Source organism: Homo sapiens, chromosome 6 (genome assembly GCF_000001405.40).
Source record: "Homo sapiens chromosome 6, GRCh38.p14 Primary Assembly".
Classification (NCBI taxonomy): domain Eukaryota; kingdom Metazoa; phylum Chordata; class Mammalia; order Primates; family Hominidae; genus Homo; species Homo sapiens.
In genome coordinates this window covers 31,292,984-31,308,914 of record NC_000006.12, presented here as the reverse complement: position 1 = coordinate 31,308,914, position 15,931 = coordinate 31,292,984, and the positions used below count along the sequence as shown (strand labels likewise).

Sequence of the window (15,931 nt, the reverse complement as noted above, 5' to 3'; positions counted from 1 at the left end):
GGAGGGCTTAGTAGCTCCTCTCGCGGCGCCTCCGTCCCGGGCTGGGATCTGCAGACTCCTCAGGTCACTTCTCCCAGAGCCGCCGCCCCAAGCCACCCTCCCCTGGTTCCCGTCCCTCTGTCCCCTCCCCAGCTCCCCCCACACAGTAAGAAGCTCCCAAGTGAGCGGCTCCGGTGCCGGGCGGGACGTGGGAGGGAGGCTGTGTCCCCGCGGGGAGGCAGGGCGACGGCGTCCAGGAGAGAGGCGAGCGGGGCGGCGTCCCAGGCACCCTGCGCCTCTCCCGCCCGCAATGTGCGGGTTCCCGGAGCCCAGGCCCGCACCCCGGGTACTTGAAGGCCGCCGGGCTCCGCCTTCACCACGTGGGCCCTGAGTTCCTCCGCGGCGCCTTCGTGGGCGACACGCGATTCCTGAGCTTCCACAGCCGCGGCGAGAATCAGAGCGTGAAGCGCGGGTGGAGAAGATGGCACAGGGCTGTGGGCGCCCTGAGGAAAGTTCTCGAAGACCGCAGGGAATGTGTTACTGAGGGGCCTGAGGTTCCTGGGCCCGCACCACCACCAGGGTCAGCCGGTGAGTGACCTCAGACTCCGGGCACAGGTGTGCCCCGCCCCGACCCCAGAGTGACCAGCCCGGTTCTCCCAGGGATGGGGGGGCGGGGCCTCAGCTGATCCCTCTCAGGTGGGGAAGCGCTGGGGCCATTTTGCTCCAGGTTTCTCCTTCAATCTGGATCATGACTGACTTGTTCTGTGACCAATGACAGAGGGAGGAAGGAGCTGGGGTGGGCGGGGCGACCTCCCTCCCCTCCCTGGCCCCGCCTCCGGCTCACCCTGGGGCAGGTCCAGGGCACCGCACCTGCAGATGCTGCTGTCTGGCTGGGTGGTGGCTCCGGACAGGAGCTTCCTCGAAGGACACTTTAAGTCCGCCTACGACAAGGAGATTTCATGTCCCTGAACGAGGACCTGCAGACCTGGACAGCGGCTCAAAGAGCGGCTTGGAGGATCCATCACACCTGGGAGAGGTTCTGGACCGCGGAGGCCACAAGGGAAGCCCCGATGGGTCACTGCACTAGGTGGCTGCTCAGACACCTGGAGCATGGCAAGGAGATGATGCTGCCGGCAGGTACTGGGGTCCTCCAGGCCCCACGTCAGGACCTCTTGGAGCTGGAATTATGTTCCTTGGAGGCATCCATATTTGAGGAAAGAGGAGACCGAACAGTCTCCGTCTCCTCCTCCTCCTCCTTCTCCTCCTCCGTCGCCGCCTCCTCCTCCTCCTCCCTACTGCGGGGTTGGGGATTCTGGCCCAGGCTCCTGAGGCTCTCCCATGGGTGGGTGGGGAGGGAGGACAGAGAAGAAGGAGTGCAGGGAGGTAAATAGGAAAGGACAGTAGTTACCCTTGTCAACAGTGATGTACTTGGGTCTAGCTTCACCGGGAATCTTTTTCTTTCCTGGCCCTCTGTGCCCAACAATTACATATAATCTTTAACCCAACCAGAAGATAAAACACCAGGAAACGGAATCGGCAGAGACACAGTAGATGAAAGTACCACGAAGGACTGCTAGGTTCTAATAGAAAGTAGCAGATGTGAGTATCAAAAGTTATAAACCTTTTTGCAAATCAGAAAAGAAACAGACTTTTTTTTTTTTTTTTTTTTTTTTTTTTTTTTTTTGAGACGGAGTCTCTCTCTGTCACCCAGGCTGGAGTGCAGTGGCGCGATCTCAGCTCACTGCAAGCTCCGCCTCCCAGGTTCACGCCATTCTCCTGCCTCAGCCTCCCGAGTAGCTGGGACTACAGGCGCCCGCCACTACGCCCGGCTAATTTTTTGTATTTTTAGTAGAGACGGGGTTTCACTGTGTTAGCCAGGATGGTCTCGATCTCCTGACCTCATGATCCGCCCGCCTCGGCCTCCCAGAGTGCTGGGATTACAGGCGTGAGCCACCGCGCCTGGCCGAAAAAGACATTTTAAGACTGAAAAGTGGTATCACCAATGTTAGAACCAAAAAACTGGACCTGAGGGTGCATCACCCGAGGGGGTTAAGTTAAACTCTGTCCCTGTTCCTTCTAGAGCCCCGTGGAGATTCCTGCTGTGCAGCAAAGCCTGGGAGGGGCCCTTGGCTGTGGAAGGCAGGCTGAGACGTCATAGGTGAGATAGGAGGAAGGGGACCTGCTGGACTCCCGGAGGCCTGGTACCCAGGGAAGGCCAGTTCCTAGGGCTGCCTCTGGACTTCAGAACCTTGATGTTAAGTCAGATTTTCCCGCTCCTCCATGAGCTTCCAGGAGCAGGGCCACATGGGGCTCAGAAAGTCCCACAGTGCCTAGGAAGTGGGTCTGTCTCTTGTGGGACAAAAATTCTCAGGTCTTTCTCTTTCAGATTCTTAAATTTCTTAAAAGAGATTGAACTGGAATTACCCAGGCCCCAAACTGAATCAAGGAATTGGGACTGTGTAATGTGTGTGTGTCTGTCTGTGCACATGTGGATGTATAAACAGGTATGGGCATCTATGTGTATGTGCGTGTTTATAAGTGCGTATATGTATGTATCTGTACATATTTATGTATATAAGCAGGTATGGGTATGTATGTGTGTATGTGTGTGTGTTACTCTGTGACTTCCTCATACTTGGCACCACCCTGGCCTTTTCCTGGTTGCCCCCCACACCATAGGTTGTAGGGGACAGAACAGCGCTCCACCTGCAGGCATAGAACGGGGGTCAGGATAAGTGTTGGGGAGAGCTGGTTTCATCACACCTGGAATAAGGAAACAGGACCTAAATGGATGGGTCCCACTCTTTTACAGAATTGTACCTTAAAAAAAGTGTCAGTCACGTTCCTAAGGGATTTACATGAATTAAATCATTTAAACCTCACAAGAGCCCTATGACCTAGAGACAGCTATCAGCCCCATTTTACAGACAAGGAAACTGAGGTCACTAGGAAGTTTAGTAACTGTCAATGGGCTGACTCATGACTCTAAGGAGACAGTCTGACTGCTGAGCCCAAGTAACTGCTCTGTCATACTCACCCTCACACCCACCTACTACTGGCTCCCTGTGGGTCACCTCCTCCTGTGGGCTCTGACCAGCTTCCCTTTCTTCTCCAGGCACAGAGACTGGACTGAAGTCTATTGCATTTGCCACAGTCCCGACTGGGGAGTCATGGGGTTGAAGTGACCCATAGGCTGATGGAGTGTGCTTGCTGGATGCGGGGGAAAGGGAGATTTATATCTGCCCTGGAGGGAGTCAATGGTGTTTGCATCATGGCATATGAGGTGCACTATCTAGAATGCTGAAGGGTAAAGACCAGCAGGGGCCATGCAGAGTCTATTCATCACGGTTTTATTTCACAGCCTGCATGGGCCTGAGAGTGGTGGGGTGTTCACTCATCTCCATCCAATCCCTACTGGTTCCTGACCTCTCTTCTTCCAACTGGTAATACCTGCACTCAAGGTTGAACCATGAGGAGGAGTCTACCCACACCCCACACTTCCTCCTCTCTGCCTGCCACTCCCTAGTGGGGCCTCCTGGATGGTGTGAGAGGAGAGTGACGGAGATAGTAAGAGAACTTGACATTCACACTGGTAAAGAGAAAGTGGGATGTCAACCTATGAGAAAGATAAGGGCTGCCACAGGGAAGGGGATGAGATAAGTTCTAACTGGCCCCAAGGGTCGCTTAACTCAGTGAAAGCTGTGGGAGGTGTTTTCAGCTATCCATTGCTATGTAAGAAATTGCCACAAACTTAGCAGCTTACAACAACACACATGTATTATCCCACATTTCTATGGGTCAGGAATCCAGACACAGCTATGCAGCTTTCTCACATGATTTTCATCAGAGTGCCATGGCTGGGTCTTATCTGGAGGCTGAACTGGGGAAGGATCCACTTCCAAGCTCAAGCAATTGTTGGCAGGATTCATTCCTCCATGCCTGTTAGACTGACAGCCTCAGTTCCTTACTGGCTGGTGGCCAGAGGCTGACTTCAGTTCCTTGCCACATGGGCCTTTCTGCTTCATCAAAACTTGCAAACAAAGAAGGTAGAAGACAGAGTCATCTAGTAATACAGAAGTGCGGCTGTAATATGACCTCATCACGGAAGTGACATCATTTTTGTCACTTTCTATTGGTTAGAAGCAAGTTTAGGCCCCATCGGTTCTCAGCTGGATGAGATGCCAAGAGACAGGATCACCGGGCATCATCTTAGGGTCTCTATACACAGGCTGGACCATGACTGAACAAGATCATTACAAACCCGGGTCCTGGACTGGGCCAGATGATCTGCAGAGCTGAGCTGTGTTTATGAAATCGAATCCCTGGAAACAAAAATCAAGAGACGCCCACTGGAAAGGCTGGTCTTGCATTCTGTGTGAAAGCTAAGATGGCGTTCTCTCCAAATGTTTTTCTCTATTACTTTTCAAACCTCCTGCATCTGTAAAGAAGCAGCACCACTAAACCTATCTGGTTTTTTTTTCATTCGAGTGTCATACTGTTAGGCAAATCTTCTGCTTTCACTATTTCTTCAAGCTTGTTTTCATGCAGAATCCCACGAACTTCTGGTAATTACACTTTATTGATTTCTTTTCCTTCACTCAGTTTATTTTTTAGTGATTTTATTTCTCTTGTATGGATAAATTAGTCCATTTAATTAGGGAATTTGTGTCTTCTAAAGAAATATTTCTACTATTTTTTGGACCATATGGGCTAAGATCCTCTTGCCAAGCCTCAGCTCACTTCCCACATGGACACGACAAAATTACTGGGGGTCCTGGAAAGTCGGGGATTGGCATAGTTCTTAAGCAGGATCAGACATGTAAGTCACAAAGATATGAGGCAGATACCTTTGATTTCCTTATGACCCTGATGACAGCATACCTGGCACTCAATACCTGTCTGTAGAGGTGAACTCAACTAAACTCCTCCCTGATCACTCAATACCATGTGAGCCCAAGGACCTCTTATGTCATGGGCCAAATTCCCTTGTTTTATGTCATTTTTCCAGATGGAGTGCTGTTCACATGGGGACCTTTCTCCTTTTCCACCTCATTTTCCATGTGTGAAACACTGGGTCTTGATTACTCAGATCTCTCAGGGTCCTTTCTACCTTTTCCTCCATCCTAACATTCTCCCTACAGTTCCTGCCAGGGTTTCCCCGAACCTCTTCTTCTCCATGTATTCAGTCTAGCATCTCTCAGTTCATTCTTCACACTTCACCAAAGTGATATTCTGGAATGCAGATCTGATCAAGGTTCTTCCTGACTTCAGTGCTGCCAGTGCTGCACATTGTCCTCGGATAAAAGCCAAAGGTTCTCCCCAACCCCACAAGCCTTAGTCATTGAATCTGCTCACTGCTCCAAGCTTGCTTTTTGCCCCTGTGCTCCTCTTTCTCTAATCTCTACCCTGAACTGCTGACAGTTCCCCCAGACTCCCTGTGTGTTCTTTCTTCTGAGCCTTTGTTTGTGATACTGATTCCCTAAAAGATTTCTCCTGCCATTCACCTGGATTAACTGTGTTCCTCATCCAGTTCTCTGTTTAGACATTGCATCCTCTTGGAAGCAGTTTTCCCGCACTAATTATAGTAGCCTGCATTTAGCTGTTTTTTTAGTCCCCTTGTGGAATCTTTGATGTTTCACTCATTGAGGCCTAGGAGACCCTGACACATAGTAACTGCCTAATAAATGTTTGCTAAATAAATGTGGGGTTCACCATGAGATACCACGTTATACATGCAAGAATGGCATTAATTTGGCTGGGCGCGGTGGCTCAAGTCTGTAATCCCAGCACTTTGGGAGGCCAAAGCAGGCAGATCACGAGATCAGGAGATCGAAACCATCCTGGCTAACACGGTGAAACCCTGTCTCTACCAGAAATACAAAAAATTATCTGGGCGTGGTGGCATGCACCTGTAGTCCCAGCTACTCGGGAGGCTGAGGCAGGAGAATTGCTGGAACCTGGGAGGTGGAGGTTGCAGGGAACCAAGATCATACCACTGCACTCCAGCCTGGGAGACAGAGTGAGATTCTGTCTCAAAAAAAAAAAAATGGCATTAATTAAAAAGTCAAAAAACAATAGATGTTGGCATGGATGGATTACACTGCTGGTTGTGAGAATGTAAATTAGTACAACTACTATGGAAAACAGTATGGAGATTCCTTAAAGAACTAAAACTAGATCTATCATTTGATCCAGCAATCCCACTACTGGGTATCTACCCAAAGGAAAATAAGTCATTATATGAAAAAGACACATGCACACGCATGTTTATAGCAACACAATTCATAATTGCAGGGATGTGGAACCAGCCTAAGTGCTCATTGACCAACCAGTGGCTAAAGAAAGTGTGGTGTATGTACACCATGGATTACTACTCAGCCATAAAAAGGAATGAAATAATGCCTTATGTAGCAACTTGGATGGAGCTGGAGGCCATTATCCTAAGTGGAGTAACTCAGGAATGGAAAAACCAAATACTGAATGTTCTCACTTATAAATGAGAGCTAAGCTATGAGGACACAAAAACATACAAAATGACATAATGGACTCTAGGGGCTTGTTGGTGGAGGTTGGGAATAGGGTGAGGGATAAAAGGCAACACTGGGTACAGAGTACACTGCTCGGGTGATGGTGCACCAAAATCTCAGAATTCACTACTAAAGAACTCACACACATAACCAAAAACTACCTGTCCCCCAAAAACTATTGAAATAAAAAAATTTTTTAGATAAATGTGGGGTTGATTTGTAATTTAAAATTTATTTTGAATAGCTAATACAAGAACAATATTTAAAAGATTATAATAATAAAAATGTGTATAGTGTGCAAAGCAAATTTCGTTCTCCACCCCATCCACAATTCTTCCAAATTCCTTGCCTGGATGCAACCACTGTTACCAGTTTCAGCAAGAAATTAAGACAGAAATTAAAGTTCTGCTCCTCATAATAATCACGATCAATTATCCCTGCTTATACAGTAACCCCTCCTTTTCCCAACAGCCTCCTAGCATGAGGAACCCAAATTGAACAGGTAACAAACATACCCCTAAACGTAATGTAACTTGTACTCTGTTCCATGGTAGGAACTTCCTTCTCTGGGATCCCAAACTCCTAGACCAGCTGAGTACGTTGAGGGGATGGGAAGCACCAACACCCCACGCGGGTTACCGGAAGTGCTGGTGAGTATAGTCATTCCTTCTTCCAGCACTGGTGGTTAGAGACTTACTTACTCTACCTGTTGGAGACTTGGCACTATGTAACAGCTGCTGCCATAGCCTAAGTGTATGCTTCATCCTGAAGGACATTACCCATCCTGATAGGATGTGATCTTCAAGATAAAACCCAGCTGCACCCTCAAGAGACCATTCCACTGCTCTATCAGCTGGCAGCGTGTGTGATGCAGTATGGGGTAGAACCAGGAGATCTCATGGTCGTGTGCCCACTACCAGACAGCGTTCGCTATAAAGTAGGTCCCTTAGTCTGGGGCAATGTTATGTGGTTCCCCTATTAGAAGATCATACATATGTGAGCCCTTAGATAACGTTTCTGAGTGTGGCACTATGGGAAGAAAGAACAAACTCATACCGCTAATACAAGGCAAGCTAAATCTGACAGAACCCCTGCCTTTTTCATTGTGAAAAAGTAAGAGTAGAATCAATTTGCCATCAAATTGCTCATTGGCCTCCATAAGCAAAGGTAATCTGTTGGAGTTTATTTATCGTTGGAAGGTAGGTTGTGACAATAACCACGTCAGCCATGCTGAAGGGAGCCCAAGCCTTGGGACCCACCCACAGTGCATCTCTTCCACCATAGATACTGCTTTCAAGAGCCTGTTTCATGAGCACTGGGATGGTTAAGGACAGAGGCTGGCTGATGTGTACCAAATGATTCATCCTGTACACCTGGTTGTTTAGACTACTTGTATAGAGGGTAATTTTTGCTGAGTATTAACATCTGATACAAAAGATCCAAGCACTTTGTATCTACTGTATGCCTCTTTCCAGATATTCCTGTTCCTGATCTTCCTATCTTGCTCCTTCCAGGCCCCGGACCCGCTATTTAAGCCATTTGCCGTTGCCTATGAGTCTGTGCATGTTCTCACCTCAGGCCACTTCTGTCTACACAAAGTGGGCAAATCAGAGCCCCACCTGCCTATTGGCAGGACCCTCTTCAGCACTGTCTCTGCTCATTCCTGAGTTGCCCACACTGCAGACACACTCTACTGCTGCCTCACACCAACACACTAAGCTGGCATGTTTATGAAGAAGCTCAGAATTTTCCTCTTAAGTCAGCTGGTCATAGAAACTACCCATAAGGTCATTGGTGAGAGTCGAGGTCAAGGCAAATTTCCAGCAGTGTGAGGTGACATGGGGTCTGAGCAATGTCTGTATGTAATTAACATCAGTACTCAGAACATACATACTTTAACCCAGGGGTCAGCCAGTGGTTTCAGTAAAGGCCCAGATGGTTTCCCTTTGCTGTGTGTGTGTTCATTCCCCTCTCCGAAGCTATGTGTAACCCCATAGGGATCACAGGGGTTCCCATCAACCACAGCCAGTTACATCCACAAAAGCCTTGATCCTTGTTAGCAGATGGGAGAGGGTGGCTTGGAGGATTGAAATCCCTACTTCATAGGACTCTGGATACTTACACAGTTGCTTCCTCCTGTGCTTCTACATGAATCTCAGCACTGTATTTAGGACACCGTCTGCACTCTTATTCTTCATGCAATTCTGTTTGCTCCTCAGATGGCCGCTTTTCCTTTGAAGCTCAACAGTGGTCATCACGTACTTGGGCTGAGGGTTACTGGTTAACTCTGTGGGATTCTGGGATCAGTTCCTTCCCATTCTTAGCCATCCCTGTGCTTTACAAAACTTAGCTTCACAATTATACTCATCTCTCTCTGTGTGCACCTCTAAGAAATTACTGATAAAACACTTGAGTTTTTTGAAATTACAAAAATATATACAAGAAAATGTTTATGGGGCCATTGATTAGCATGGAAAAGCATAAACTTTCCTGTTTTCTGCCTCTCATTAGAATTTAATCCCCCAAAATTGAACTCATTCCAAACTTCTGGCTTAACTAGGAGTTGCTGTAGCCAGCCTATTCTAGACAGCATCCTGTAAGCCCCTGGGATTGGCAGACACAAGACCACTTTTTCCATTCATATATGTGGTTCTGTTCTGGCCAGATCAACGGACTTCCAGTGCCCTTCTTGAGTCATACTGAGGTAAATTACTCAGACCACGAACTCACATTTTTAAATAAATAAAATAGCAGCATAGTTAATAATTTATTTATCCCATTACTGGGCATATACCCAAAGGATTATAAATCATTCTACTATAAAGACACATGCACACATATGTTCACTGCAGCACTATTTGCAATAGCAAAGACTTGGAACCAATCCAAATGCCCATCAATGATAGACTGGATAAAGAAAATGTGGCACATATACACCATGGAATGTTATGCAGCCATAAAAAAGAATGAGTTCATGTGCTTTGCAGAGACATGGATGAAGCTGGAAACAATCATTCTTAGCAAACTAACACAGAAACAGAAAACCAAACACCGCATGTTCTCACTTATAAGCAGGAGTTGAACAATGAGAACATGTGGACACAAGGAGGGAAACATCACATACTGGGGTCTGTCAGGGGATGGGGGCAAGGGGAGGGATACCATTAGGAGAAATACCTAATGCATGCGGGGCTTAAAACCTAGATGACGGGTTGATGGATGCAGCAAACCACAATGGCACATGTGTACCTATATAACCAACCTGTACATTCTGCACATATATCCCAGAACTTAAAAGTATAATTAAAAAAAGAATTTATTTCATTTGTGTAGTCCATTAAATTTTTTGTACATTTTTTAAACCTGCACTTTTCATAGTTTTTGATACATCCTTGCTCCAATAAATAGCTTGCTAAAACTACTAAATCTCATAGATATACCAATGGTTTGCATCATCTAATGGCACATTTGCTTGTCAAACTGAGGTCAGCCAGTCCCCCTTCATTCACTGTTAGTAACTCATGTGTTGCATTGTTAAAAACCCAGTATCACCTCATCTCCCCTCTAGCATCTTCTCTGCAGAGGAGAAGCCAGGCACTATATCTCCCAGGATCCCCTTCCCTGTATAGTTCCAGTTTACATTTTCCAGTGAGAGAGACTTGCCTAAGAAATGGGGCCCTGGAGAGATGGTGGGACAGACCTGTACCCATCAGTGGTGGCTGCAGGTAGAGGAGCAGGCAGATGTCAGGTTCTCAGTGGCTTCCCTGCTAGGCTAGAGACCCACCTGCTTTGCTTGTGTGGACTAAGATGAGTGATAAGAGCTTTCTCATAGGTTCTGGAGAATATAGCAATCTCGCAGCAGGATTCTGAGAACCTCCCATCCATGCTTCAAGCTGAAGTCTTCAGTATATGCTTCCCTGACCTCCCTACTGCAGCTTCCAGGAGCTCCAATGGTGACTGGTATTATTATAGTATCCTGCTGCTGCTATAACAAATTACCACAACTATGTGGCTTAAAACAACACCAATGTATTCTCTTATAGTTCTGGAGGTAAGAAGTCAAAAATGTGTCACTATGGGCTAAAATTAACATGTCGTCAGAGCTGCATTTCTTCTGAGGCTCTAAAGGAAAATCTGTTTCCTCACCCTTTCCAGCTTCTTGGGGCTGCCTGCATTCTTTGGCTTGTGGTCTCTTCCTCCATCTTCCAAGTCAGCAGTCACATCACTTTGACCTCTGATTCTGTTGTCACAGCTCTAACTCTGATGCTGCTTTCTACTCCTTTCACTTATAAGGACTATTGTGATTACATCGAACCTGCCCAGATAATCCAGGATAATCTTCCCATCTCAAGAGCCTCAGCTTAATCACATCTGAAAATTTCCTTTTGCCCTATTAGGAGACATTTTTATAAGTTCCAGGGATTAGGACACAGACATATTTAGGAGACTGTTATTCTGCCTGTCACATGACTTCACCAATATTTGCTACCCGTGGTTTCCAAACATTAGTGTATGCTCTTATTTCTATTTATTCCTGAAATACCAGAGTGAGTCTGTTTTTCTGAAAACAGCTCACTAATGCCCAGAGGAGCTCAAAAATTTTCTGTCTGTTGTCTCAAAGTCTCCAAATTGTACTGATTCTTCAACGTGCATGGCTGTAAATTAGGCAATAATCTTGCTGGGGTGTTGGAAGGAAAAGAAAGGGAATGATTAGACAGCCCTTCTGATTCGGGACAGAATCTGATTCGGGACACTGTCCCTGATGGCTGGCCATCTTGGGCTGTAATCCAGTTTCCCTCCCACGTAGACCCGGTCATTTCTGACTCCCCAAGAGGTTTTCACAGTATTCATGTCCACTTCCTTCATCAGTCATCTTCTTGTCTTATATCTCCATGTTTACATTTTTCTTCTCTTCTACCACTGTAGTTCTGCCTTGATTCTTCAGCCATTGCCTTCCTTTTGCATGCATGTGCTTCAGCCAGTTCTCTAGGAAGACATTCCAGACAGCTCATTATCACTTGTTACTATGTTTATTTGACTGCAGAGCTTTGAAGATTTGTAACTTTCTATTTTTTAAATTTTAGTGTAAAAATAATTCTTGCTCACAGTAGGAAATGAAACAATCAAAATATGCATAAATATACTTTTAAATCTCTCCTTTCACTAAATCCAAACCCACTTAACTAAGGTGATTACTATTGTATCAGCCTACTCTCTGCATGTCTACTTTCTTCACTTGCACGCAAACCATAGTGAGTGTTTTTATCTGGTAGCTTTTGTTGAGCTGTAATGACTATAAGTTTTATATGTAATTTAATCATTTTCAGGGCAACTTGAGATATAATTTAAATAGTATAAAATCCGCACATTCAAAATATACAATTCAGTGGCTTTTAGAATATTCACAGTTGTGCCTCCATTACCACAATCAATTACAGATCCTTTTATCTCCTCCCAGCCCTGCAGAAAAATCCATATCCAAACCCCAGCCCTAAGAAACTACCAACCTATGTTTTAACTCTACAGATTTACCTATTCTGAACATTTTATGTAATGAAATTATACAACATGTGGCTTTTTGTGTCTGTCTTCTTTTACTTACCGGAACATTTTCAAAGTTTGTGTGGGTCGTAGCTTGTATCAGTACTTCACATCTTTTTCATCGCTGAATTACATTCCATTGTATGGATATATCACAATTTATTTATTAGTTGGTGACATTTTTGTCCTTCTCATTTGGATTGTGATTAATAATGCTGCTATAAACATGGCATATAGGTTTTTATGTGAACTCATGTTTTCATTTCTCTTGGGTATACTGTATCATAGGAGGGGATTGCTGGGTCATGTAATAACTTAATGTTCACAAATTTGAGCTACTGCTAGCCTGCTTTCTAAAGGGGCTATGTCTCTTAAATCCCCACCAGCAAAGTGTGAGTATTCTAGTATCTCCACATTCTCATCAACACTAATTATTATCTTTTTAATTATAGCCATTCTAGTGGGTGGGAAATAGTATCTCATTTTTGGGTTGATGTGCATTTCCCTGATGCTTAATGATGTTGAACATGTTTCTATGTGCTTATGGGCCTTTTGTATATTATTTGTCTTATTATTATTATTATTTATTGTTTATTATTATCTTATTATTAATATTATTATATTGAGTTACAACCATTCTTTATATATTCTAGATACAAGTCCTTTCCTTGCCAGATATAAGATTTGCAAAACTTTTCTCCCATTCAATGAGTTTCTTTTCACTTTCTTGATGGTGTCCTTAGACTCACACATTTTTAATTTTGATGATGTTCAATTTATCTTTTATTTCCTCTTTTTGCTTGTGCCTTTGGTATCATTTAAGATCAGGTATTTTTACCTAATCCAAAGTCATGAAGATTTATGCTTATGTTTTCTTCTAAGAGTTCTCTAATATTAAGTCTCACATTTAGGTCTTTGATACACTGAGGTAATTTTTATATGTGGTGTGAAGTAGGGATCCAGCTTTATTCTTTTGCATAGGGATAGCCTGTTGTTTCTGCACTGTTTGATGAAAAGATAATTTCTTCCCCTCACTGAATTATATTAGCACTGTTTTATAAAACCAATTAACCATATAAGTGAAGAGTATTGCTGGGCCCTCAATTTTCTTCTGACTTCATTGTTTTTAATGCTATTGTAAGTTGGATTTTTAAATAACATTTGTATTAATGCATTGATACTCTATAGAAGCACACTCAATTTTTGTATTTTGATCTTGTAGCCTACCAATGTGCTAAACTAATTTAGTATTAGTGGTTTAGTAGTTGCTAAGCTTGTTTTTAGTGAATTCTTTCGTATTTCTATATAAGATTTTATCATCTGCAATTGAGATAGTTTTACCTCTTGCTTTTTAATCTAGATGACTTTTATTTCATCTTATTGCTCATTGTAGCTTTTGAAAAATTACATTGTATTCACAGTGCCCTACCATTTGATATTTTTATTTCTATTATATCATGAACATCCTTTGAATTTCACAGAAAAAATGGTTTAACTCATCATTTTAATGCTGTTCCATAGTATGTTATATGCACCTACTCCCCTGGGGTAAATATTTAGGTGGTTTCATTTATTTGTCACCCACTCTACAGATGTCTATATGCACATATTCTCCCAGCCATCCCAGAGTTTTCTGATTTCCCATAACGTCAGTGATTAAACTCCTGATCTGTCTGACTAGCTAGACATGCTGACTGACTGACAGTTCCATTGCTACTTTGCATAATTTAAGATCAACAGCTACATTTGGATCTCAGATCATCTAGGCCCAGCTGCAGTTAGTCTTTCCTAGTCTCAGAGATTCCCTCTCTGCCTGTTAATTTCTCTATCCCTGAAACTGCCCTTGTACTCCAGCCCAAGCAGCTTCCTAGCCCAGTAGTCCTGGATCTGCCACTTGCTAACTAGAAGGTGTCATCTGCAGAAGGTAAGTAAGGCATTTATCTCCATTCACTTTATATTTAGTTATCAAATCTCCATGTAGCTCAGGTAGATCGAGCTGAAAACATTCTTGTGTTTAGTAATATAGCCATTGAGCACACCATCATTGCTCTTTTCATACCTTAGTCCTACTCAAAGATTAAAGTGACAGCTTCCCAGTTATGATAAAAAAGTATAAAACATTCTGAGGGACCTGTAAACTATAAAGCTAAAATATCAGCTTCTGCATGCAACATATATGTCAAATTCTATGTCCAATACTCTTCTCGTTTTTAGAATTAATTCTGCAAACTTGAAGATTGAGCTTTTTATGAACTGATTGGCATCTGCTATGCTCACCAGATTATTCCCACTTGACTGAGAGGATGGTGGTAGCAAGAGCTCCTTCCTTTCAGAGGCTTTTAAAAATACTTATTGGGAAGAATGTACCACATAAGGCATTTAACTAATGAAACCACAGATATAACCACTGGCAAAAAAATCAAACAAACATTTCTTTAACTGCCCTGTACTTGGTACATTCTCTTCCTCCTGCTAAGGAAGTATCTCCTCTCCCTTCACTTCACAGACTGGAATTTTCCAAATTCCTAGTCTCAACAAGACAAACTGTATTTTGAAATCACTGTTTTCCCAGAATACCCGGAGTGTTACCATGACTCCAGAAGATGCCTTCAACCAAGACTCATAATCTGACTGTAAGAAACCTTCAGATAAGGTATTGGGAACTTCTGTAAAATTGTAGCTGGGCTGTGATTAGAGAATTTTCACAATATCAACGAATCTTACAAAAGAGCTGCTGATCCAACAGGTCCTCAGAGATCCTGTGTGGGAACCAGAAGGTATTCTGTGAAAAACGACAATAAGAATAACCATAATAACAATAATGGCTGCATTTAAAAGGCTCTTGCTATATTTCAGGCACTGGTTTTTGTACCTACATGGATTATTTTGTTCAATATTTATCACAACCATATGAGAAGGATGTTATTATCCACAATAAATAAATGAAATCTGTAAACTGTAACTTGTTCAAGAAAATTAGGTACAGAGATGTTAAGTTACTTGCCCAAAGTTCCATAATTTTGAAGATATGAGGCTAGAATTCAGTTCCAGGCCATTTTACACTAGATCTACTAATTTAGCCACTGTATGATTGTACCAAGACTGACCTAAAGCTACCTCCCCTTCCCCAACAGGTTCTTTTATGACAGTGAGTATAAAATACAGGGCTAATGACGTATTGGGTGCAGAGAGGGGTTGGAAAGAATGTGGTATTTCAGACTATGCTTACTATGCTTAAAAATCACAATTCCGTGGTGACTAGAGTTTATCTTAAACTTTCCTCCCTGGCATTCCATTGCATCCAGTTGAGAGAGCACTCTAGCTCCCTACATCCCAGAACATGTAGATCTGTCCGTGGTTCTGAAAGATACACTGGCAGGTCCCGCCAACTACATGAATGGCATTCATATTGTGGAAAACTGCCCACTAGTAAAAATGTACAGTTGAACTTGTACATTCATTACTTACAAGGTTGGAGAACGTGAAGTACTGGACAATCCAACAATAGCTTGGAAAGATACCATAAAAAGACCCGCAGAATATTCTTTTATATGCATTATACTGAAATGTACAAAACAAAACCAGAATGGGACACATTATGAGTGAGAAGTTTATCTTGAAATTTTAATCAGAATATGAAGAAAAGAAATCCAACATTAGACCTGGAAAAAGATAAAATAATTTGTATTTCATTTAACAATATTTATAGATTCTCAATATATACACTATCCTTTTAAACCTCAATTTATATTTAACCATCCATTTACCTTTATTTTTTGTTTGTTTTTTTCTTTCACCTCATACTTTCTACCTGGGATATCTTTTTGTGACTAAAGTACATTCTTTAGAACTTCTTGTACTTTACTAGGTGTGTTTGTGTTAAA

At 43.5% G+C, this 15,931-nt stretch overlaps 2 long non-coding RNA genes across 2 annotated transcripts; both read left to right on the top strand.

Moving 5' to 3' along the window:
* Window positions 1-320: 320 nt before the first annotated feature.
* LOC112267902 (uncharacterized) lies at window positions 321-12,089 on the top strand. The gene is made up of 5 exons (XR_926691.3): window positions 321-1,116; window positions 1,489-1,578; window positions 2,060-2,137; window positions 7,061-7,156; window positions 10,339-12,089. It is a non-coding gene; the product is annotated as an uncharacterized LOC112267902 (long non-coding RNA).
* LINC02571 (long intergenic non-protein coding RNA 2571) lies at window positions 7,278-15,007 on the top strand. The gene is made up of 4 exons (NR_149115.1): window positions 7,278-7,443; window positions 13,902-13,971; window positions 14,620-14,700; window positions 14,794-15,007. It is a non-coding gene; the product is annotated as a long intergenic non-protein coding RNA 2571 (long non-coding RNA).
* Window positions 15,008-15,931: the final 924 nt, after the last annotated feature.